This window comes from Homo sapiens, chromosome 10 (assembly GCF_000001405.40).
Source record: "Homo sapiens chromosome 10, GRCh38.p14 Primary Assembly".
Lineage (NCBI taxonomy): Eukaryota > Metazoa > Chordata > Mammalia > Primates > Hominidae > Homo > Homo sapiens.
In genome coordinates, this window is record NC_000010.11 from 116,427,448 (window position 1) to 116,453,856 (window position 26,409).

Sequence of the window (26,409 nt, forward strand, 5' to 3'; positions counted from 1 at the left end):
CACTGCTAATAAGTGGCAGAGGCAGAATTTGGACCCAGCATTCGGGCTCTGAAAACAATAATGATAACTCCCATATTATACTGCCACACAGATAAGAGGAAAAGATTAGCTATGTTTGTTATTGAACTCGGAACATCTTATAGCAGGGTCTGTTTGTATTAATTGGGATGCTTACACACAGAAATGAGTTAGGGAAAAATATTCTGAAAGTGCCTAATCCTGGTTTGGAAAAAAAAAATTACCTTTTAAATGCTTATTATCTAACACCTTGTAACCTTAAAGTAACTTTCAAGAGTGACTCAGTTTGTGCTTAACCAAAATATTACTAATAATGAAACAGCAAAACCTTGGAAGTTTCCATTGCCAATCATAAGATGTAAGGCACACCCCGATAATTTTATTTACTTTGCAGAGCATAAGGTGGAATAACATGTTCTTTTAAACGTAGAGTTTAAACATTGAGTTGCATCATTGTGAGGAAAACCACTTAGTATTTTATAGTGAGGTGACTTTACAAGTAAAGATCTTCAAGAAGATTTTTATGTGATTTAAAAAATCAGCTTAGATGCTTGGAATTTGGATTGTTGCATTCTTGTTCTTTGGCACATCAAGAGGTAAGATTCATAATTTATAATAAGTTCTTTAAAAATAATGAGTATACTTACATCTAAAATGTAATTGACATGAACTTATTCTTTAGAAATTACTATTGCTAATTTCATTCTTAAGTAGTTTATTGTTTTTATGAATATGTTTAAAATATTGGCTGCTTATATTTCTTTGTATTTATTTATTTTTTCACTTAACATAAAATTATCAATGGAAAATGCATCACTTAATACTGAATGAGTCTTATGAACATAAAGAAGCATCTATTTCCAACAATATAAAAGAGTTGCCGGACAGTCTTGTGTTGGGCTGCTAGCTCTGCCACTTACTAGTCTTATGGGCTTAGACATTGAAGTCTCAATTTCTTCATTTCTAAGAAGGGTACATAGTAATAAATGAGAAAATATATACAAATTTCCAAATTCTGTAGCTGACTCATAGTAGATACTCAATAATTGAATGAATTAACTAATTATTAATGTCAGTTGGAATGTCCATTTTTTTTCCACTTCAGTCACAGTTTTCTGGAGGGCTGTTAGTCTGTGGACATTTCTTAAACATTAACTCAGTATTCATTGACATGTTTGCTCTTTATACTATGGACTCCTTAGACATTACAATGTAAGGAGTTAGTGATTTTGGCTACTTTTACCATCCATGTTTAATATTGTGCCTATAAGCAAACATTAAAATTAGTTGATTTATTTTAACCAAACTAGAATCAAATAATTTTAATGTTGAAAGAGATCAACCCCTTTGTTGTAAAGTATCACGTAGTTGGTTGAGATAGTATGGTGGTAAGAAGACAGTCGTCACATCTAACATTCAGTTCAACCACCGGTTTGAATTCTGAATCTTCTTGGGTTTTAGTCCTCGTTCTGCTGCTTGGTAGTTGCTTAACTTTAAACAAGTACTTAACCTTTCTAAGCCCAGATGATTGATCTGTAGAAACAGGACAGTAACCAAAATAAAATTATAGGGTTGTGCCAATTAAATAAGATGCAAGTTGACCATCTCGAATCCAAAAATCTAAAATCTAAACTTCTCCAAAATCTGAAACATTTTAAGCACTAACATGATGCCACAAGCAGAATATTTCACATACAAATACTTAAAACAAACTTTGTTTCATGCATAAAATTATTAAAATACTGTATAAAATTACCTTTAGCCTATGTGTATAAGGTATATATGAAACATAAATGAATTTTGTGTTAAGACTTGGACCCTGTCCCCAAGATATCTTATTGTGTATATGCAAACATTCCAAAACACAAAATCTGAAACACTTCTGGTCCCAAGCGTTTTGGATAAGGGATACTCAATCTGCAATTCATGTAAAATGCTTGGCATGGGATTTGGGACATATTAGTAGTGAGCAATCAATAAATGTTCGCTCTTATTTACACAGATGAAGAAAACAAAACACAGAGAGATTCGTTGTGTAACATCTTGGCGCTAGCTTGTGGAATTGGCCAATCTTGACTTTCAGTTCAGTGTTTTTCAGTCCCTGGCCTCCAGCTCTTCTCTATTGGATAAAAAATGAAGGAGATAGGACTATCATTAGTTTTCATATTTCAAGAACTATATTCTATTTTGCATGATTCTCCTGCCCCAGGACAGTCCTAATTGAGTGCTGAAAGCAGTTAGACTGGTGAAGGCAGAATTAAGAAATAGGCAGTTTGCCCTGATCTGCTGAGATGATATTTAAAGCCATGACTACAGACAGGATCATCAAGGGAGTGACTGCAGGTAGAGAAGGAAGATGGAACTACTGAGTCCTAGGACACTTCCTCATTAAGAAATCAGGAAGATGAAGGCAAACTAGCAAACAAGACTGCCAAGAAGTACTCAGTGAAGTGGTAGGAAACCTAGGAGAGTCAGCATCCTAGAAGTCAATTTAAGATGAAAGAAATAACAGCATGTTTGTGTGAGGCTAGGAATGATCCAGCAGAGAGGAGGAAAGTTGGTAAAGCAGGAGAAAGAGAAGGGAGTAATGTTGTGCCTTACCCCTCAGTAGGTGAGAGAAGATGGAGTCTTAATAGGATGAAGGTTTGCCTTTGCGAGAAACAAAGACAGTTCATCTCTTGTGAACAGAGTGAAGGCAAAATAGAAGGGCAGATATCTGCAGGTAGCTGGATAGACACGCTGGGAGCTTGTAAAAGGTCTCTTCTCTTTGTTTCTGGTTTCCTATTGAAATAGGAAACAGGGTCATCAGCCAAGAGGTTTGGTGGGCATGAAGATGTTGGAGGTTTGAGAGGCAAGAAGAATGAAATAACCCAGGAGTCTGGGAAAATGAAGGGCCTAGGAAAATATGATATGATGGCTGGGTAGCTTTAAGATCTGCTTTAATTTCATAACCACAAATTAAAAGTGAGATAGTCAGTACGGTATGTGATTTCCTCCAGGCACATTCAGCTGCACAGGTGTAGACAGGAAATAGGTGAAGTGTTGGGTTTAACCAGAGTTGTGGTTAAGCCAAGTGAAGCAAGAACAGGAGAGAAGTTCAAGGAGAGTACAGGGGTATGGTTTTAATTGACTGTAGGATTTACACTGGATAAGAAGGGAATTGAGGAGAGAAATGTCTGCCTAATAAGAAGTTATTTTAACAAAATACATACTTATGTAAAATTTAGATAATACATATATTTCTCCTACACACCACATATCTATTACACAACTGCCATAAATTTAACAATTGAGCTTACATTCATTTGTATTATTACCTATATCTCATCTATTAAATCTGTAACAGAGTCCATTGCCTTCAATCTTCTGGTACCTACCATTTATGCTAATGACTTCCAAATGTAATCTCTCCAGCTGAACTTCTCCCTGGAATCCCAGTCTCGTATATGCAAGGTAGCTCCACTTAGGTATCTAATTCATATAGAATCTACATATCCAAAACTGAACTCTCAATATCTACCCCCAAATCTGTTCGTCTCAAAGTTTTCACAATTAATGGCCTTCCAGATGCTCTGGCCAAAACACCTTGCATCATCCTTGACTTTTCTTTCTGTCATACCTCACTGCCAATCAGTCAGCACAACTCTTTGGATCCTCCCTCAAAATCCATGCAGAACCTGACCACTTGTAACCACACCACTGCTACCACCCTAGTCTTAGCCACCACTGACTTTTATCTAGTTTGTTATAATAGTCTCCTAACTGGCCTCTTCCTCTACCTTGCCCAGAAGCTAACCCAAGTCAGTCCATGTCACTTTTCTGCTCAGAGCCCTCCAGTGGCTTCCCATCTCACTTCAGAGTAAGAGCCAGTGAACTACCAAATGCTACATGCTTTAGCCCTCTGTTACCTCCTAGCATTAACCCCTGCTCCTCATCCACCTACCCCTATTCAAACTCCTGGGGGCCAGATGCATTACAAATGTTAGGGTTTTTTTTATTATTTTGAAACATGCTATGGTAAACATACTGTATATAATACATAATTTCCAGAAAAATCTAGGACAGAACCCCATATTTAATCACATGCATATTTATGTAGTAAAATACATGACTACGATCCCACATAATTTAATCTCATATTAAATGGGATAAAGACTATAAACAGCTTTAGGTCTGTTATTGCTGCCAAACTAGTTACTGCAAACTAGAAAACAAATAAATGAACAAGCCCAAAAGCAACTATTTTTCCCCAGAGATTTTTAGATTTTGAAATTGCAGAGTAAGTCATTGTGGAGCTATGTCTTCTCCCTGTCTCCATTCCCTGGGCCCTAGTCCCGGTGCCTCCTCATTCCTCAGTCACAGTAGGCTCTCTGCTTCCTTGCAGAGTCTTGTGCTTTCCTTCCCTCTGTCTGGAATGCTGTCCCACACATCTGCATGCGGTTTGCTCCTCTCCCCCCCAGGTCTTGATGCAAATGCTACCCTGGACACCCTATTTAAACTGCAAACCCCTCCTCACCTAAACACACAAACACCCTCATCCCTTCCCTGCTTTAGGTTCCTCCTAGCACCTGTCACTGTTTTAATGTAGCCATTTTTGAAAAACGTATTCTTATTTATTGTCTGTCTCTACATCCCCTAACTAGATTATATACTCCATGAGGGCTAGAATTGTTTTCTCCAATGCTGAATTCCAGTGCTAATAGCATCTGGCAAATAATAGGCACAAACAAATATTTCTTGAATAGATTATCGAACCTACTTTCCAGCTTTTCTATGTCTTTGGAAAAGCCTGCTCACAGTAAGATAGAGAAGTGACTCCTTTAGAGAGTGGAAATTAGGAAGATAAGAACTAATATGCCAATTTACATGATTTCTTAACCAATTAACACTAGCTTCATGTAATGTGCTGTTTTTCAAATGTTTCTTTAAAGAATTCTTAGGCCAAAGGGGAAATAAAGCATTTCAACTAGAGAATATATTAAAATACAATGACTCAAGAACTGAAGAAAGTGGAAAATAAAATAAGTAAAGGTGAAGAAAGCATTTAAGTAATAAAAATAAAAATATAAGTAGAAGTGAATCATACAAACAGGAAAGATAGAATTCATAAACCTATGTGGCAGTTGCTTAATAAAACTAATGATGCCATGATGGCAAATTTAAATAAAGTGAAATAACCTCAGATGTGGATGAAGTTAAAATGACTAGACTTTGCATAAATTTATGGTAAAAGAATTGAAATTCTAGATGAAAGTCTTACTACTTACACCAGAATAAATCCCAGGTGGGTAAACATTCAAAAGTAAAAGATAAAACATTAGAAAGAAGTATGAAAGAAAAGTGTGTAATTGTTAATAGTCTTGGAGTGGCCAGGCACGGTGGCTCATGCCTGTAATCCCAGCACTTTGGGAGGTCGAGGCGGGCGGATCACGAGGTCAGGAGATCCAGACTAGCTTGGCTAACATGGTGAAACCCTGTTTCTACTAAAAATACAAAAAATTAGCCAGGTGTGGAGGTGCACACCTGTAATCCCAGCTACGCGGGAGGCTGAAGCAGGAGAATCGCTTGAACCTGGGAAGCGGAGGTTGCAGTGAGCTGAGATCGTGCCATTGCACTCCAGCTTGAGCAACAAGAGTAAAACTCCATCTCAAAAAAAAAAAAAAAAAAAAAAAAAAAAAAAAGTCTTGGAGTGAGGAAGCCTTTTCCAAACAAAACAAAACCCCAAAGCCACTAAGCAAAAGCCTGATAATTTTGATTGCATAAATGCAAAATTTCTAAATGACAAAAGTAAAGTAAAACAAAAATATAGACAACAAATTTGAGTATATTTTCCAGATATCTGACTAAAAGGAAGCAAATTTCTCTACTCTTTGAAGAGTTTTTACAAATAAATAAGCAAAAACAAACTTTAGAAAAATATGCATAGGACACAAAGATCTCATCCACAAAAGAGGTACAAATGGCTAGAAATGCACAAAAGGATATTCAAAGTTTCTGATAATTAAATAAATGCAAATTAAAATAACAACGGGTTTTCATTCTTGTAGGACATGTAAGGTTGTCATACTGGTGGTACTTACAGAAACTGAAATCTACATACCCTTCCATAGTATGTAGATTGTATTGTTGTTCCCCATATTGACTCTCCATCCCTTTAAGACCATTATACACATTCATCTTTGACCACATGACATGGAAGAGAGTATTCTAAGTCTAGACACCTTTAAGAGCCTTTGCATGGTTCCACAGTTGCATCATTTTCCTTTGCCCCAACAGACACAGGCTCAAAACAGAGCCTACTCATTTAGCTTGGATCCTGCAATGCAGAAGGCTGGTAAATCAGAGCTAGGCCCAACCTAAAACCACTGCAGCCAAAGGATAACATGAGCAAGAAATAAACCTTAATTTTTGTAAGCCAGTGAGATGTGAGGGGCTGTTTATTACCATAAAGTAACCTAGCAAAAGCTAGGCTATATCTCCCAATTCCACTTAGTGATAGAGTGACCGGCATAAGGGTTCAATTATTTTCCTGCCACAAATAGCAATACATTTCTCTTAGATCATCACTTTTTCTAAGTCTTCATTTTTTCACATGTATGACACATAAGGCTAAATCTGTTTTTGGTATTTTTTATTAGCAGTAGTAAGACAAAAAGAAAAAACCAGACTGGGCATCATTTGGTAAAGAAGTACTCTTTCTCTCCTTTTGTGACCTTTTTATTATTATAAAGGTAATTCATATTTATTACTGAAAATTTGATAACATAGACAAGTATAAATAAGAAAATTAAAACCACTGGGATTCACCATTAATATTTTGGTACCTTTCTTTTAATTTTACTTTTTTCCATTACAGATATTATTACAAATTCTCTATAAACATTTTTAATGGCTGCATAATATTCCTCAATACCATAATTTTAAAACTATATCCTTTATTATTGGCCACTTAAGTTATTGACCCAATTTCAATGTATTAACTTTATAGCAAACATTATTTTTACAGAACTATTAATCTTTCAATCTTTTCTTAAGTGGCTTTAATACCTTATAATATTGCTCACTGTGCTTTATCACATCCATTTTCCTTTAACTTTACACTCTCTGTGAGCATTTTCTTATGGAAAAAAGAGCACAGTGGTAGATAACCCTGGTAAGCGATAAACATAGAAAATAAGGACTAGTTATAAAAATCTTCATTTTAAAATCCATAGACTGAATAATGTAGTTGAGGACCTGGAGAAAAAAGCAACAGAATGCAAAAAATAAGGGCAACTGGGCATTCTAGGGAAAACAGAAGGCTGTTTTAGAAAGCCATGATCCAACTATGAAGTCACTGGTTCAAATTAGAAAAGGATCAGAATGGATTCCAGGCAGGAGAAATATTAAGAAGCTGCAATATAATAGGAATATATTGAAGAAGGCACATGTTCATTCTTCCAGGAAGAGAAAAAAAGGCAACCAGAGAATATAGGAAAACACAAACAGTACAAGAGAGGCATGATCCAAATATGGAGTAACCTACGATGACACTGATCCTGAGTAATTCAAATATTAGGAAAGACAATTCATTTGAATCATCTCCTTTGAAGAGAATGAGTGTCTGAACAATGGAAGTGCAGTAAAGGAAATGTAATTATAGCATGCGAGTTGATTGAAGCCAAAAATATTTATCTAGTTATAATAATATAAATTCTGTTCATTGATTTTCAACTTTTTGGAGTCAGCATGCAGACAAAACATAGAAGGATTAATTTTGCTTATAGAGCAAAGTCTGAATATTATCAATTTTGATAGTATGAAAACAACATTATGAAGCTGACAGACCTTGGAAGCTGGAAGGGAGGAAGAGAGGGAGAGTCAGTACCTCTAAAATCTTCCTCTTAGGAAACTGGGAGTCAGGTTCTAATGAATATGTTGTATGGATCAAAAAATAGAAGGTTACTGTTTAAATTTATAATAGAAGCCAATAAATGAGCCAAAAAAAAAAAAACCAACCAAACAAAAAACAAAACAGTGTATTGACCGCATTGGAGGAAGAGGTGAGACAAAGTGAAGAGTGGGATGCGCTGGGTTATTGAGCTGTTATCTCTCGGCTTCAAGCCTGCCCTTCTGGCTGAGCTTTGCTGAGGCTGGAATGTGGCCAGTACCATCCTAACAAGTGTGGGATGATATCTCATTAAGGTTTTGGTTTACATTTCCATAGTGATTCACGATGTTGAGCATCTTTTCATATGGCTGTTGGCCATTTGTATGCTTCTTAAGGAAAATGTCTGTCCAGGTCTTTGCCTATTTTAAAATTTAGTTATTTGCTTTTTGCTATTAAGTTGTGTGAGTTCCTTAGGTAATTTTTTTACAGAAATAGAGAAAACAATCCTAAAGTTGTTGTGGAACCACAAAAGACTCCAAATAACAAAGCAATCTTAAGAAAGAAGAACAAAGCTGGAAGCAGCACACTTCCTGATTCAAAACTATATTTACTACAAAATTATATTAATCAAGACAGTGTGATACTGACATAAAAACAGACACATAAACAAATGGAACAGAGTAGAGCGTGCAGAAATACACCCATGTGTATATGGTCAACTAGTCTTTGACAAGGGTGCCAAGAATATGCAATGAGGAAATGATTGGCTTATTCACCAAATGGTGTTGGGAAAATTGGATATCCACATTCAAAAGAATAAAATTGAACCCTTACGCCATATACAAAATTATAAACCTGTGTGTATATGGTCAGCTAGTCTTTGACAAGGGTGCCAAGAATATAACAATGAGGAAATGATAGGTTTGTTCAACAAATGGTATTGGGAATATTGGATATCCACATACAAAAGAATGAAATTGAACCCTTACCTTATGCCATATACAAAATTAACTTGGAATAAAGACTTAAATGTAAGACTTGAAATTATAAAACTCCTATGAGAAAACATACGAAAAATCTCCTTGTTGCTGGCTTTAGCAATGATCATTTTGGAATATGACAACAAAAGCACAGGCAACGAAATAAAATAAATAAACAAGTGGGATTGCATTAAACAAAAAAGCTTCTGCACAGTAAAGGAACTAGTCAACAAAATGAAAAGGCAACCCTATAGAATAGGAGAAAATATTTTCAAGCCATAAATCCAATAAGGGGTTAATTTCCAAAATTAAATTCTACTTTAACTCATAGTGAGAAACACAGCCTCTCTCTAAGCCTGGTTCCTCTATACTGACACTCCACCTTTCTGCTGCAGGAAAAGAAGTTTGCTATGAAAGGTTAGGGTGTTTCAAAGATGGTTTACCATGGACCAGGACTTTCTCAACAGAGTTGGTAGGTTTACCCTGGTCTCCAGAGAAGATAAACACTCGTTTCCTGCTCTACACTATACACAATCCCAATGCCTATCAGGTAAGCTAACTTGCAGCCTTCACACATGGATTATTCTAAAATATAAGATTTGCCTATAGATACAGAAGACATAGATACAGTAACCTATTCTGACATATGCTATTGACTTAAATGCAAACATTTCTTTTCAGTATTATGAGTCAGATTTTTTCTATGTTATCTGTTCTATATTATCTGTTCTGATATATCTGATTTAAATATGAAGATTGCTCTTATGTTATTTCATAACAGGTAAACTTGATATTATGTTCAGTCAATGTACCAACTGAGAACCTTCCATCTGTAAGACTGAATAAGCAACAATGCCTATTGTCTATTGAATTGAATAAACAGAACAGTCTTGACTTTATTGCAGTGGGAGAAATGACATGTACAAACAAATACCTTTCTTGCAACACAAATTATGATCTGTGATGTAAGATGCAACTGAAAGACTCTGGGAACAAAGTGAAGAAGAGCTCACCTTGAGGTCAGGGATGGAACCAGGTAACATTTTGAGGAGGACATGTATTTGAGGTGTATCCTGCAGGATGGGCAAAGTGCTCACAAGCAGAGATAAGCAGGGTAATGGCAAAGGAAGTGGCATGAACATAAAGGAGAGAAACCACAGGCCTGTCTGATGAATGACGTGTTGGGTTAGTCTGTGGGCAGAGAAGGAGTCTTCAAAAGTAAGGTTAGTTAGAAAAGTAGTTGAGGAACAAATTGTATAGTTCCTTCCTGTGGAGTTTGTACTTCATCCTGTAAGCCATGGGGCCCCATTGAGAGCTTTTCAGAGATGCTTTAGGGCATTTACTCTGGCTGCTGTTGCTCTCTTGTCTGAAGCTGGAAGAGACTAGAGGTGACTATGAGGCCATTTAGAACTGTGCTGTCCAACATAGTAGCCACTAGCCACATGTGACTATTAAAATTACAATTAAATAAAATTAAAAACTCAATTCATCAGCCACACCAGCCACATTTCAAGTGCTCAATAGCCACATGTGGCTAGTGGCTACCATACTGGACATTACAGATATAGAATATTTCCGTCATCACAGAAAGGTCCATTTGACAATGTTAAATAGAAAGCTATAGTGCAGTTTGGATCACACACGGGAAACAGCCTGAACTGCAGTAATGAAAGTGGTTATGATAATAGAAAATCAACATGATAGACATCATAAACTAGTCTGAGATTTCACACGTAAATGATTGGGAAAATGATAACCCTCTTATCAGAAAAATTGAGGATAAAAGAGAAGGAGTTAGATTCTGGATAGGTGGGGCTTGAGCAGGCTGTTGGAGATGTTAGTCTAACAGCGAAGCAGGCAGCCCAGAGCTGGAGAAAAAGATTCAAAAGTCTTCTGGCTGGGGTTGCAAATTGAAACCCAAAGAGTACATGAAATCTCAGAAGCAGAGAAACGAGGGCAGGACTAGGAGTGGTTGGAGGATCTATATTTAGGGAGCAGGAAAAAAGTGGGGCCAGAGAAGATCATTTCCAGTCTTTACCTGAATCTGTAACCTCAGGGCTTACTTTCCATCAGGCCCATCACATACTGCTGGGCCTTGCCAGCCAGGGCAGTCTTCTCCTATGCACTCCTACCGTACAAATATGGTCTGATTTGTAGCTCTCTACTCACCAGACACACATACATATGTACACACTACTCTTTACTGAAATCTGCCAGCTATCTGTAGATGAGTATTTCCCTAAATAATGTTCTTCACACCTTCTCCACTTCCCTCCATTTGGAAAGAATCATGTGTAGTTAAACCAGATCTGTACCTGAATTTTGTAATGGATAGAAGCCTGATTGTTTGCTGTTAAAGTGTTTTTCAACAACCAAGATATAGGATAAATCAAGGTATGTACTTAAAACAAGGATTTCCACAGGCCTGACCCATATGTTATATGAGTTTGACCAATTCTGTAGATGTGGCTGTCTCTAGAACAAGGAAAAAAGTTCTTACTATGGGTATAGAGACACTTATAAAGAAACATTCCTCAAAAGCTTGAGTTTTATAATTATCAAGAAGTAAAGAGAGGAATATTACTTAGCTTTAAAAAGAAGTGAAATGCCAATACATAATATAACATGGATGACCATTCAAAACATTTTGCTAATAAGCCAGACACAAAAGGACAAATAATCTATGGTTTCATTTATAGGAGATATCTGGAGCAGGTAATGGAGAGTTCCTGTTTAATGGGTACAGAATTTTAGTTTGGGGTGAAAACAGTTCTGGAGAAAGATGGTAGTGATAGCTGCATGACAATGTGAATGACTTAATGCCACTGAGTTTGCACTTTAAAATGGTTAAAATGTTGATTTTAATGTTATGTATATTTTGACTTCTTTTGCATTTTCATTTTTAAAATGTTTGGAAATACGTACAACTTTCATACAGTTTCAGGGTGCTCCAGACACCCGTGGCCACTTCTTGTAAACCACTGACTATTTCTAGAGCACTTTGAGAGACTACAATATGATCATGATCAAATTTTGTAATTAAACCTAATGAGGGCAACAGACACTTCTCAGATAAGAAATGTGTCAATTACAGAGCTCCCCTACTCTAAGTATTCACAAGGAGACAGATAAATAGTTTCTTTATTCCTCCTCCTCCTCCTATTCTTCCTCCCCGTCTTCTTCATCCTCCTCTTCCACTTTTTTCCGGGCAACTTTAGCAGGACGCTTTGCGCCATCAAACTTTACTTTCGACTTATAGTCAGCAACATCCTTCTCATACTTTTTCAGCTTTGCCACCTTAGTGATGTAAGGCTGCTTTTTCGCTGCCATTTAAGTTATTCCACATCTCACCCAGCTTTTTTGCCACGTCTCCAATAGAGAAGCCAGGGTTTGTGGATTTGATCTAGGCGCAGAATTCTGAACAGAACAGGAAGAATCCAGACGGTGGCCTTTTAGGGGCATTAGGATCCTTCTTCTTGCCTCCCTTAGCTGGTTCATAATCCTTCATTTCCCGATCATAGCGCACTTTAATCACCTTTGCCATTTCATCAAATTTAGATTTCTCTTTCCCGGACATTATCTTCCACCTCTCAGAGCGCTTCTTGGAAAATTCTGCAAAATTGACAGGGACCTCTGGGTTTTTCTTCTTATGTTCTTCTCTGCACGTCTGCACGAAGAAGGCATAAGCAGACATCTTGCCGTTTGGTTTCTAGGGGTCACCTTTAGCCATCCTGACTGTATTGTTCGCTAGTAGATCAACTTTTTTTTAAGTGAAGAGAATCTATGTAGAATACAAGTATTTGGGGGCACCTTCTCTGCCTTTTAGGATGTTCAGGGCATATTTATCCACTTAGGACTAACTCTATTCCCTGATCTTCACTCTTAGGACTCATCAGGCTCATTGATCCTTTTATCCTTTTATATAAGTGGCCATGCACTTGAATTCTGTGGAGCACGGTCAGTAAAACAGAAGGTGATAAAGACAGTGTTTAGGTGAAGCTGGGTCCTACTGCCAATGAAGAGAAAATTGGAAAACTAAGTACTTCCCTAAATAATGTTCTTCACACCTTCCCCACTTCCCTCCATTTGGAAAGAATCATGTGTAATTAAACCAGATATGTATCTGAATTTTGTAATGGATGGAAGCCTATTGTTTGCTGTTAAAGTGTTTTTCTAACAACTGTGATATAGGATGAGTCAAGGTGTGTAATTAAAATAAGGATTTCCACAGGCCTGACTCATATGCTATATGAATTGGACTCATTTATAAACAAATCAGAAATTAACTCTACACAGTTAACATACTCTCTTCTCCAAGTGAGGAATTGTCAAAGGTAAATGTGGTGTGGTACGATAAACTTGGTCTTCTGGAGGTCACAGGTCTTTACAGTTACCTTTCTGTAAGAATAAAACCAACCGACTTCCCCCATGAATCCATGACACCTTAACCTAGAGTGACTTATACAGTCACTGGTGGTGATGGACATGTTGCACACTTCCGGTAGTTTCTGTGTCTGCAGCTTTAGTCAAGGATAGAACATACCTAACTGGTAACTATTTTTTACTTGCTAGAGATGATATCACTGGAAATGTAGTCATCAGAATGGATTGATCTCGTACCTATTATGCTTCATGTCTGCTCAGTCAAAGAATGCTAAAAGGCCCAGATAAACCTTGATACTTTAATTAACCCTTCCTCTCGATAACCTATTCTGTACAATATTGACATCATTTCCTCGTTTCTATCCTTGTGGCAGCAGAATCTAAGCTGTCTTCTTTTGATCCCATGATGGTGTATGGAGTTTCCCACATTTATGTTGAAAAGCTGCTTTAGAGGGTTGTGCCAGAGTGAATGTGAAAGTGTTTTCTCTACCTATTCTACTTGATTAAACTCCTCATTGATGTCAGACAAGATCACCCATATCAGCATACCTGGATGGAAAACAGATGGCAGATGGCAGGGAGACATGTGCAATGTATGATGTGAATAAACTCCTTTTTACACTAGCATGACAACAGATGCTCAGACCCCACAATGCCTGTCAGAATGCTATTCTCATGTTGAGAAAAGAATAAACAATTTTTTTCGGACTAAATTCCCTCCAAAAGGTTTTTCAGATGTAGAAATGGGACTATAGTAGGTGTTTGAGGCGCTCCAGCTGGGCCTAAGAGAGTTGAAATGAGTGAGCACCTGGATTATCTTAGAGACATAGATGGAATCATGTTTTTGTACTTGGATTGGATTATTTAGCAGAAAAATGCTTCCTAGAAGGCCTGAAGATGATTGATTTTATTGCTCACTTCAGCAAATCCCACATCTGGTTTGGGCCCTATCAGCAGAGAACACTATAATCAGAACATCGCTTGAGAGCCCAGTGGTTAAGCACCTAACTTCAAAGGCCATGTGGATTTGAACTCTGGCTCCAGGATTCATTAGCTGCAGTACTTTTTGGCAAGTTACTTGGCCCCTCAGAGTCCCCTTTTCTAATTTTTAAAATTAGTACCTACTTCACAGTGTTTTGAGAGTTAAATGAGCTACTCTATAAAGTGCTTAGAACAATGCCTGGCAAATAGACAGATAGGAGTGTTAGCTATTATAATTACTGAGCAAGCCAACTTATGACTCTCATAACCATTAGCTTACAGTCTTGGAGACACTTTACCTAGCCAGCAAATTGTATGATTAATTGCATTACTATTAAACACAGGTAGCCAGAAATAGGCTCTTTGTTTGAATTTCATAAATATCTAAATGTGTTGCTTCCAGGTTATAGGATTCACCACTGTCAGACTTGCTATTTGCTGATTTAAGTATTCATTTTTTCCAATAGAATTGCTTATACTTGTGCCTTTTATTGTTTTAAATAACAAAATCACTTAAATTTATAGTCTCCTAAAGTCTTTGAGAGTTTTGTTATTAAGGCAATCCAACAAAATACAAGAAATACAAAAGAATATTTGACATAATCATATAAAATTATCTCCAATATGCTGGTGTATTTCATGTGATGAGATTCTAACCTCAATTCCTTACTCATAAAGTGGGGTGGACAACCTCCATTTTGCCATGTTTTTGGCATGCTTCTAGGCATGTTTTAATTCTCATGAATTACACTGATCACTGAGAAATGTTATACAAAAATAAGATTTACTGAAACTATGATTTAAACTTCCCAACATTGTCTTGCAAACATTACTTTAAAAATCAAAGATTTTTTCCTCGTGTTGAATTCGTATACTGCATTTTATAATGCATTAACTTTTTGAGCTAGATGTGGTGGCTCGTGCCTATAATCCCAGCAACTTGGGAGGCTGAGGTAGGAAGATCACTTGAGGCCAGGAGTTCAAGATCACCCTAGGCAACATAGTGAGACCCTGTCTCTAAAAAAATTGTTTAAAATTAGCCATGTGTGGTGTCATGGGTCTGTAATCCAACTATTCAGGAGGCTGAGGCGGCCAGATGGCTTGAGCCCAGGAGTTTGCAACTGCAGTGCGTTATGATGGAGTCATTGCACTTCAGCCTGGGCAACACAGTGAGACACTGTCTCTAAATAATAATAATAATAATTTTTGGTACTTTTATAATATGTAGCCATAACTATTTAGTAAAAATATATTAAAGAAGGTTGCTAAAGATCAAATTTAGTGAAAGGCTTTCGAGCAGCTTTAGAATAGGTCTACTAACTATTAAATAATTTTTAATTATTATTTTTCCTTAATCTCTTTCTGCTTGAAACAGGAGATCAGTGCGGTTAATTCTTCAACTATCCAAGCCTCATATTTTGGAACAGACAAGATCACCCGTATCAACATAGCTGGATGGAAAACAGATGGCAAATGGCAGAGAGACATGTGCAATGTATGACATGAATAAGCTCCTTTTTACACTAGCATGCGAGCTTTATGTTTAACATGAATGTACTTTGCAAGGTATTGATGTATATTCATGGAAATCTTCCATTCAGTTATCCACAATTATCCGTGTTCTGGGGCCTCAAATTAGTTATCCATTTCCCATTTATTTTTATTATAAATTGCACAGATTACAAGGGAAGCAAATTTGTATAATCACTCTTGAATAAATTCTTCTCTTGACAGGAGATTAAATGGTATGATCAATTTCTCATTTAATTTAAGAAAAACAATTTCCAAGTTAACTCCATGAAATTAATCTTTCTCTCCTATACTTAAGATTAATAGACTGCTAACATCATAAGCAGTTAAATATTTATAAGGCCATATAGTGAAGATAACATTAGTACCTATCTCACGGAGTGAGAATTAAATTTATATATATGTGTTTTATATATATAACACATATATATAACACATATGTGTTTATATATATAACACATATATATAAACACATATATATAAATTTAATTCTCACTCCGTGAGATAGGTACTAATGCATAGGTGCTAATTACTAATGTGTGTGTGTGTGTGTGTATGTGTGTGTGTGTGTGTGTGTATGTATGTGTGTGTGCATATATATATATATATATATATATATATATATATATATATATGGGTTAGGACATACGTATATATATGGGTTAGGACAGAGCTTAGCCTGTGGTAGGTTCTCTATTAACACCTAAGTATTACTCCATTTTCATACTGCTATAAAGAACTGCCCTAGACTGGGTAATTTATAAAGGAAAGAGGTTTAATTGACTCACAGTTCAGCATAGCTGGGGAGGCCTCAGGAAACTTACAATCACGGCGGAAGGCACCGCTTCACTAGGCAGCAGGAAGGAGAAGTGCCAAGTGAAGGGGGAAGAATCCCTTATAAAACCATCAGATCTCATAAGAACTCACTATCACGAAAACGGCACGGGGGAAACCACCCCCATGAATCAATTACCTCGACCTGGTCTCTCCTTTGAGACGTGCAGATTATGGGGATTATGGGGATTACAAATCAAGATAAGATTTGGTCGGGGACACAAAGTCTAACCATATCAACCTACTAGTATAATTTCTTATTATGGAATCAAGTGTTGAGACACGTCGGTTTCCTTGAACACTTATTTATTTAATATTTATATAAATCTTTGTGCCAGGTGTTGCTACAGCTGGAAGATATAAATTGCATTAATTTAGATTGGATCAACGGTTCACGGGAATACATCCATGCTGTAAACAATCTCCGTGTTGTTGGTGCTGAGGTGGCTTATTTTATTGATGTTCTCATGGTAAGAAGAGTTGATTTTTTTTTAATTATATTGAATTGGTTTTGGATATTAACACTCAGAAGTTGGGACAATTTAATGTCTTTTTTTATTAGCTTAGACAGGTACTGAACATGTGAAATAATAAGCATTTGTATATGGCAGACAAAAAAGGAAAAGTTTCTTCGCAGTAAAGAGTCTGTGGTTATTTGAAGCACCACTAGGTGGCAGTGTGTCTACACAGGCTCATCACTAAAAACTGCCCCCGCAAGGTCACTGCCTTGGTCAGCATGTTAGACCACCTCAATCAGTTTCATCAATTGTAAATCTATCCTTAGAATTATAAATTGTTACCATCCTTCAAATATTATTTGTTTAGAATATGACATGTATTTTCACACAAAAACAGGGTTCTGTGCCTGTGAATTAGTTAGGTCTGTAGGCCAGTCCAGACACAACTATTTAACACACATATTCTCTAAAGGAATTAAATAGACCTTGCTATTTATTAGGCCTATACTCTGCGACATTCACGAATCTCCAAATGCTTTCTAAAAAGTAATTTCCCACCCTAAAATGCAGTGTAGTAAAATCTAAAGATGCATAATCCTTTCAGATTTTTAAGGAGGGTTCATTCATTCATTCAACAAATATATATTTCACTCTGCACTTACTGTGGGCTAGGCATGGAAGATATGACTTGTAAGTAAGACAGTGTTTCTGCTCTGACAAAATGTACACTCTAGTAGGCAATGGAGGCACACACAGAAACAAATGAACAAGAAAATGTCAGTTGGTGACAAGTACTGGGTGAAGAAAATGCAAGGCAGTAGAATGGAGAATGGCAGAAGCAGAAACAAATTGTATGAGCAACCAGGTTAGGTGATATTTGAACATTGACCACTGTCAGTAAACATCCTGAAGAAGGAATTAGGGATCCAAAGACTCATTTATGCCCCGACACTTCTCTATCTTCTCTTTCCACTCTATCAGGGAAGACTAAGGTACAAGATCTTTAGAGAAAGTCTTTGAAAGGATGAAATCAGATTCATCTTCATCTTCTCTTTATAAAAAAAAAAAGCCAGCTGTAAGCTTTTGTGAGTTTCTTTATTGACCTTAGGGCCTGAGCTGTGGGCTTTCCTATGTCCAATAAATAAATAATAGTGGTTCATAGGAAGCTGACAGGAGATGTTTGCAGAACTGAAGGGAAAAATGTTTGTTGAATTAAAATGTTCATTGAATTGAATAGGCAGCCTTGAAGTGGGAAAAGGGTTTAGGGTGAGTGGGCTCCAGGGCCTCTGGGGATAATTCAGGATTCAAGCTTAAAGAAGGAGCAGCTAAAGGAACAGCTGAGTCTCTTCTCCACCTCTCTTTCTGTCATCTCATCACAAGTTACTAGCCCACCACAATTCACCACCTGGATTGGTACTGAGGCAAGCAGGTGCTTGGGAATGGGGTAGGAAGATGGGGAAGAAGGAGAAGAATGAAGGGGATAAGGGCTGAGAGTGATCTCAAATACCAACCTATATAAGGAGATAGGAAAGAAAATAGTCATTTAAAATAGCGGCAACAGTCGGCCGGGAGTGGTGGCTAATGCCTGTAATCCCAGCACTTTGGGAGGCCAAGGCGGGTAGATCACAAGGTCAGGAGATCGAGACCATCCTGGCGAACAAAATGAAACCCCGTCTTTACTAAAAATACAAAAAATTAGCTGGGTGTGTTGGCGGGCACCTGTAGTCCCAGCTACTCGGGAGGCTGAGGCAGGAGAATGGTGTGAACCCGGGAGGCGGAGCTTGCAGTAAGCCGAGATGGCGCCGCTGCACTCCAGCTTGGGCCAGAGTGCGACGCTGCGTCTCAAAAAAAAAAAAAAAAAAAAAAAAAAATAGTGGCAACAGTAGAGGAAGGGATGTTCTAATGACCATGTAGCATTCATTGGCAGTTATTCACATATGTAAATGAGAGAGAAAATATTCTTTGTTCTGTGACTTATAAAACTGTCATAACTGGTGGAAAAAAATGGAATATTTGATCAAATGAAAAATGTATGCAAGTATAAATCAATTGCTTGATTTTCATGATAATTATGAGAGCCTGAAACTTAGGTGAAACTAAAAATGCTTGCTCAGGAGTGACATTATTAAGATAATAGGAATAGGGAGACCTGGATCCTTCTTTCTCTGACAAGCACACTGATTCAACAGTAACAGACAAATTTTCTTTGTGAGAAATTAAGAAACTAGTTGAGAGGCTCTTACATCCTGGGTAAATATAAAACCAGCTACAACGAAGGCCAGAGGAAAATTTGAGATACCTTCTTGTCTTAACTTCTACCTCTGACCCAGCACCATATGATCTGAAGGAAACTCCTAGCTTCCCGCTTCACCTTGTGGACAGAAAAAGTGGGACGTCATATCCAATGTTTCAGCTTTTCTGGGGGCTGCTTAGGGTAATCACTTCAATCTCACATGTCTTGGAGCACTGATAGAACCCAGAATATTTTAGTATCTAGGGGCCAATGAGAACAAAGATGGGAAGAAAGATGTCATTCAAGCAGTCACTATAGCCCCTTCCCCTAGCTCAGTGCAGACAAACAAAGTGATTGAGTAGAATACCCTAGATCCCATGTTCTCCTTGGGAGGAAAAGAGTTAAACTGCAAATCAAAAGTTCCAACTTTTCCAGGGGCTGCCTGAGAGACTGATTTCTGTCTTGACTCTCTTGGAAGTGCTGATGGCACTCAGCTTATTCTAGATGCTTGAGGGCTGCTAAGAATGAAGATAGTAGTTTGGACCAGCACAAAGTTTTGACAGGTGCCCAGAACTGTTGGCTAGGCTGATTGGTGAGAGTCTTCTCCCACAAAGAACAATCCATGAACACCCTCGCAGAGGTGGCTATTTTTTCTAATGTGCAAATACCAACATAAAGAGTCAAGGAAAATGAAGAAACAATATATACCAAAGAAACAGATTCATCTCCAGAAACTAACCCTAATGAAACAGAGATATATGATTTAACTGACAGAGAATTCCAACTAACCATCATAAAAATGTTAAATGAGGTCAGGAGAATGAATATTGCATGAACAAAGTGACAATTTCAACAAGAAGATTAAAAAAATATAAAAAGTACCAAACAAATCTTGGAGCAAAAGAATATAATAATTGAAGGCTGAGCGTGGTGGCCCATGCCTGCAATCACAACATTTTGGGAGGCCAAGACAGGCAGATCACTTGATGTCAGGAAGTCGAGACCAACCTGGTCAGCATGGTGAAACCCCATCTCTACTAAAAATACAAAAAAGTAGCTGGTCATGGTGGCGCGCACCTGTAATCCCAGCTACATGGGAGGCTAAGGCATAAGAATCACTTGAACCTGGGAGGCGGAGGTTGCAGTGAGCTGAGATGGTGCCACTGCACTCCAGCCTGGGTAACAGACTGCACTCCAGCCTGGGCAGCAGAGTGAGACTCCATCAAAAAAAAAAAAAAATGAAAGAGGAAGGAAGGAAGGAGAGAGAGAGAGAGAAAAGGAAGGAAGGAAGGAAAGAAAGAAAGAAAGAGAAAGAAAGAAAGAAAAGAAACAGAAAGAAAGAGGGAAAGTATGTGGAAATATAAAACTCTCTGGTAAAGGTAAACATATAGACAAATACAAAATACTGTAACATGTGTGTGTAAATTACTTTTAATTCTAGTATAAAAGTTAAAAGACAAAAGTATTAAGAATAACTATAACTAAAAATATGTTAATGGATACACAATAAAAAAGACGTAATTATGACATCAATAACATGAAGCATGTGATGTGAACAAGTAAAAGTGTTGACTTTGGCGTATATGATTGAAATTAAGTTGTTATCTCCTTAAAATACACTATTATACTATTATAAGATATTTTATGTAAACCCTATGGTAGTCACAAAGAAAGTACCTATAGAAAATACACGAAAGATTTAAAAAAGCTATCAAAGTATATTAACACAAAAAATCAACAAAACACAAAGGAAGACAACAAGAGAGGAAAAGAGGACCAAAGAACTATAAGACAGAAAGGTAGGAAACAATTTTTTTAAATGGTAATAGTGGTCCGATGTGGTGGCTCATGCCTGTAATCCCAGTACTTTGGGAAGCTGACGTGGGAGGATCACTTGAGACCTGGAGTTCAACACAAGCCTGGGCAACATAGTGAGACCCTGTCTCTATAAAAAGGTGTTTTGTTTTGTTTTGTTTTGTTTTGTTTTGTTTTGTTTTAGGGCTGGGTGCGGTGGCCCACACCTGTAATCCCAGCACTTTGTGAGACCGAGGCAGGCGGATCACTTGAGGTCAAGAGTTCAAGACCAGCCTGGCCAACGTGGTGAAATCCCATATCTACTAAAAATACAAAAATTAGCTGGCCATACTGGTGGGTGCCTGTAATCCCACCTACTCAGGAGGCTAAGGCAGGACAATTGCTTGAACCTGGGAGGCAGAGGTTGCAGTGAGCCAAGATAGTGCCATTACACTCCAGCCTTGGCAATAGAGCAAGACTCCATCTCAAAAAAAAAAAAAAAAAAAAATTTCTAATTAGCTGGGCGTGGTAACATGCACCCGTAGTCCTAGATACTCAGGAGGCTGAGGCAGGAGGATTCTTTGAGTCCAAAGGTTTGAAGGTACACTGAGCTGTGATAATGATCTTGCCACTGCACTCCAGCCTGACTGGCAGAGCAAGACCCTGTCTCAAAACGAGACAAAACAAACAAAAAACAATAAGTCCTTCTCCATCAATAATACTTTAAATGTAAATGTATTAAACTCTCTAATCAAAAGATATAGAGTGATTGAATAGATAGTTTTGAAAAGATTTAACTACATGCTGTCTACAAGAGATTCATTTTATATTTTGGAGACACACATAGGTTTAAAGTGAAGAGATGGAAAAGAATAATCAACACAAATGGTAACCATAAGAAAACAAATGAATGTACTTGTATCTGACAAAATAGACTTTACGTCAGAAAGTATCACAAGTGACAAAGGTCATTATATAATGATAAAAGAATCAATTCACCAGGAAGATATAATAATTATAAATATATATACACCCAACACCAGAGTACCTAAATATATAAAGCAAACATTGACAGATTGGAAGGGAGAAATACACAGCAGTGAAATAATAGTAGGAGCCTTCATTATCTGATTTTCAATAATGGATAGATCACCTAGATGGAAAACAAATAAGAAGAAAACTTATTTGAACAACAACTTCAGCAACACTATAGACCAAATGGACCTAACACATGTGCATAGAATATTTCACCCAACAGCAGAATACACTTTCGTCTCAGGTACACACAGAACCTTCGCCAGGATAGATCACAAGTGAGGTCAGAACAAAATCTTAGCCAACTCAAGAAGATTGCAATCATACCAAGTATCTTTCTTGACCACAGTAGAATGAAACTAGAAATCAATAGCAAAAGGAAAACTGGAAAATACACAAATATGTGCAAATTAAACAGAAAACTTTTAAACAACCAATGGGTCAAAGAATAAATCAAAAGAGAAATTATAAAATACCATTAGACAAATGAAAACAAAAACACAACATACCAAAACCTATGGGATTCAGCAAAAGCAAACTAAGAAGGAAGTTTATAGTGATAAACACCTAAATTTAAAAAGAAAAAAGCTCTCCATTCAACAACCTAACTTTATACCTAAAAGAACTAGATCAAGCTTGCCCAACCCACAGCCCAGAACAGCTTTGAATGTGGCCCCACACAAATTTGTAAACTTTCTTAAAACATTATGAGATTTATGCATGGACCTTATTTTTAAGCTCATCAGATATCATTAGTGTTAATTTATTTTATGTGTGGCCCAAGACAATTCTTCTTCCACTGTGGCATGGGGAAACCAAAAAATTGGATACCCCTGAACTAGATAAAGGAGAATAAACTTATTCTAAAGTTAGCAGAAGAAGGGAAATAATAAAAATTACAGTAGAAATGAACAAAATAGTGAATACAAAAACAATATTAAGAAATGAACAAAACTACAAGTTGGTTTGTTGAAAAGATGAACAACATTTACAAACCTTTAGCTAGACTAAAAAAAACTTGAGAAGACTAACATTTAAAAAATAAGAAATAAAAAGGAGACATGACAATTGAGACCACAGAAATAAAAGGAACATGAGACTAGTATAAATAATTACACAACAAAATTTAAGATAACCTAGAAGAAATAGATAAATTCCTAGAAACATACAACATACCAAAGCTGAATCATGAAGAAACAGAAAATCTGAACAGACCTGTATTAAAGAAGACACAAATAAATGGAAAAACATCCTGTGTTCATGAATCAAAAGAGTCAATATTATCAAAATGTTCATACTACCCAAAGCTATCTACAGATTCAACGTAATACCTATCAAAATTCCAGTGGCCTTTTTTTTAACAGAAATAGTAAAAACAATTGTGAAATGTATATGGAAGCACAAAGGACCCTGAATAGCCAAAACAATCTCGAGAAAGAAGAACTAAGCTGGAATCATCACAGTTCCTGATTTCAAAATTTATTATGAAAGTACAGCAATTAAAGCAGTGTGGCACTGGCATAAAGACAGAATAGAGATCTCAGAAGGAAACTCATGTATGTATGGTCAACTGATCTTCCACAAGGGTGCCAAGAATACACAATGAAGAAAGGATAGGCTCTTCCTACAACTGGCATTGGGAAAGCTGGATATCCACATAAAAATGAATTAAATTTGACCCTTGTCTTACACTATATACACACACACACAAATCAATTTGAAATAGATTATAGACAAACATAACACCTAAAACTATAAAACTCCTAGAAAAAAACATAGAAGAAAAGCTTTATGACATTGGACTTGACAATGATTTCCTGGATATTTCACCAAAATCACAGGCAGCAAAAGCAAAAATAGACAAAGAGGAGGATGTGCTTTGGATGCGTGTCCCCTCCAAATCTTATGTTGAAATGTGGTCATCAATTTGGAGGTGGGAATAGTGGGAGGTTTGGAATCATGGGGGTGGATCCCCCATGAATGGCTTAGTGCCATCCTCTTGATGATGAGTGAGTTCTTGCTCAGTTAGTTCACACAATATCTGTTTGTTTAAAAGAGCATGGTACCTCCCCACTTACTCTCTTGCTCCTGCTCTTGCCATGTGATACCCCAGTCCCACCTTTGCCTTCCACCGTGATTGTAAGCTTCCGGACATAAGCAGATGCTGGCACTATGCTTTATGTATAGCCTACAGAACCATGAGCCAATTAAACCTCTTTTCTTTATGAATTACCCAGCCTTAGATATTTCTTCATAGCAACACAAGAATGAACTAACACAAAAAAAATTAGTAAAAAGGAGCAGGGCATTGCTATAAAGATACTTCAAAATGTGGAAGTGATTTTGGAGCTGGGAAATGAGCAATGTTGGGAGAGTTGTGGGGCTCAGAAGAATACAGGAAGATGAGGGAAAGTTTGAAACTTCTTAGAGACTTGTTAAATGGTTGTGACCAAAATGATGATAGAGATATGGACAGTGAAATCCAGGCTGATGAAGTCTCAGATAGAAATGACAAAGTTATTGGGAACTGGAGTAAGGGTCACCCATGTTACACCCTACCAAAGTGCTTAGCTGCATTGTGTCCACACCCTGGGGATCTGTGGTATGTTGAACTTAAGAGTAATGACTTCAGGTATCTAGCAGAAGAAGTTTCTAAGCAGCAAAGCATTCAAGATATGACCTGGCTGCTTCTAACAATCTACAATCAGATATGGGAGCAAATAAATGACTTAAAGTTGGAACTTATATTTCAAAGGGAAGCAAAACATTGAAGTTTGGAAAATTTGCAGCCTAGCCTAGCCATGTGGCAGACAAAAAAAGCTTTTTCAAGAGCAGAATGTAAGTGGGCTGTGGAGCAACCATTTGCTAGAGAGATTAGCATGACTAAAAGGGAGCTGGGTGCTACTATCCAAGACAATGGGGAAAAGGCCTGAAAGGCATTTCAGAGATCTTTGAGGCAGCCCCTCCCATCACAAGCCCAGATGTCTAAAAGGAAAGAATGGTTTCAGAACCCAGGCCTAGGGTGCCACTGCCCTGCTCAGCCTTCAGGACACTGCTCCCTGCATCCCAGCTGCTCAGGCTCCACCCTCAGCAACTAGGGCCCCAGATACAGCTTAGAACACAGCTCTGGAGGGTGCAAGCCATGAGCCTTGGCAGTTTTCAAGTGGTGTTAAATCTGCAGATGCTCAGAGTGCAAGTGTGAAGGAAGCTTGGCAGCTTCCACCTAGATTTCAGAGGATGTATAGATAAGTCTGTGTGCCCAGGCAGAAGTCTGCTGCAGGGGCAGAGCCCCCACAGAGAAACTCTACTAAGGCAATGCCAAGAAGAAATGTGGGGTTGGAACCCCCACACAGAGTCCCCACTGGGGAACTGCCTAGTGGATCTGTGGGAAGGGGCTCCTGCCCTCCAGATCCCAGAATGTTAGATCCACTGGAAGATCCATGATTATAAAAACTGGCAGGCACTCAACTCCAACCCCAGAGAGCAGCATGTGGGTTGCACCCAGAGAAGCCACAGGGGCAGGGCTGCCCAAGGCCTTGGGATCCCACTCCTCACACCAGAATATGGAACATGGAGTCAAGGATTATGTTGGATCTTTAAGATTTAATGCCTGCCCTGCTGGGTTTCAGATTTGCATGGGGCCTATTACCTCTTTCTTTTGGCCAATTTCTCTTTTTTGGAATTGAACTGTTTACCCAATTCCTGTACCTCCCTTATGTCTTGGAAGTAAATAACTTGTTTTTTATTTTACAGGCTCATAGGTAAAAGGAACTTGGCCTTGAGTCTCAGATGAGAACTTTGACTTTGAGCTTTGAGTTGATGCTAGAATGATTAATATGTTGGGGGAAGAGTAAGAAGGGATGATTGTATTTTGCAATGTGAAACGGACATGAGGTGTAGGGGGGCCAGGAGTGGAATGATATGGTTTGGATGTGTGTCCCCTCCAAATCTCATATTGAAATGTCATCCCCAATTTGGAAATGGGGCTTAGTGGGAGGTATTAGATCATGGGGATGAATCTCTCATGAATGGTTTAGTGCCACCCCCTTGGTGATGAGTGAGTACTTGCTCGGTTAGTTCACACAAGATCTGATTGTAAAGAGCACGGCCCCTCCCCACTTGCCTTTTACTCCTGCTCTCACTCTGTGATACACCAGCTCCTCCTTTGCCTTCCCCGATGATTCTAAGCTCCCTGAGGCCTCACCAGAAGCAGATGCCAGCACTATTTAAGTTCTGGGATACATGTGCAGAATGTGCAGGTTTTTTACATAGGTATAGACGTGCCGTGATGGT

General features: G+C 37.7%; 1 protein-coding gene and 1 pseudogene across 5 annotated transcripts in view, besides 1 other annotated feature; one reads left to right on the forward strand and one right to left on the reverse strand.

The window, feature by feature from the left end:
• Window positions 1–399: 399 nt before the first annotated feature.
• The window catches only part of PNLIPRP3 (pancreatic lipase related protein 3), a 50,111-nt gene continuing 24,101 nt past the window's right edge, over window positions 400–26,409 (forward strand). For 2 of the 5 annotated variants that reach the window (NM_001011709.3, XM_011539276.2), the window contains exons 1-4: window positions 400–614; window positions 9,264–9,418; window positions 15,608–15,727; window positions 16,935–17,066. In NM_001011709.3, the coding sequence (NP_001011709.2) occupies window positions 566–614; window positions 9,264–9,418; window positions 15,608–15,727; window positions 16,935–17,066 (456 nt within the window). In that variant the 5' untranslated portion in view covers window positions 400–565. Of the gene's footprint in view, window positions 615–9,263; window positions 9,419–9,773; window positions 9,905–15,607; window positions 15,728–15,749; window positions 15,799–16,934; window positions 17,067–26,409 lie in introns of those variants that run through there. The other 3 variants (XM_011539278.1, XM_011539279.2, XM_011539277.1) reach the window with 3 other exon arrangements.
• HMGB3P8 (high mobility group box 3 pseudogene 8) lies at window positions 11,758–12,620 on the reverse strand (annotated as a pseudogene).
• Window positions 24,926–25,457: an enhancer, noted in NCBI's record as "OCT4-NANOG-H3K27ac hESC enhancer chr10:118211885-118212416 (GRCh37/hg19 assembly coordinates)". NCBI's record gives its function as "activates a minimal SCP1, AML or CMV promoter by ChIP-STARR-seq in primed H9 embryonic stem cells {active_cell/tissue: H9 hESC(primed)}" and the evidence as "EXISTENCE:reporter gene assay evidence [ECO:0000049][PMID:30033119]".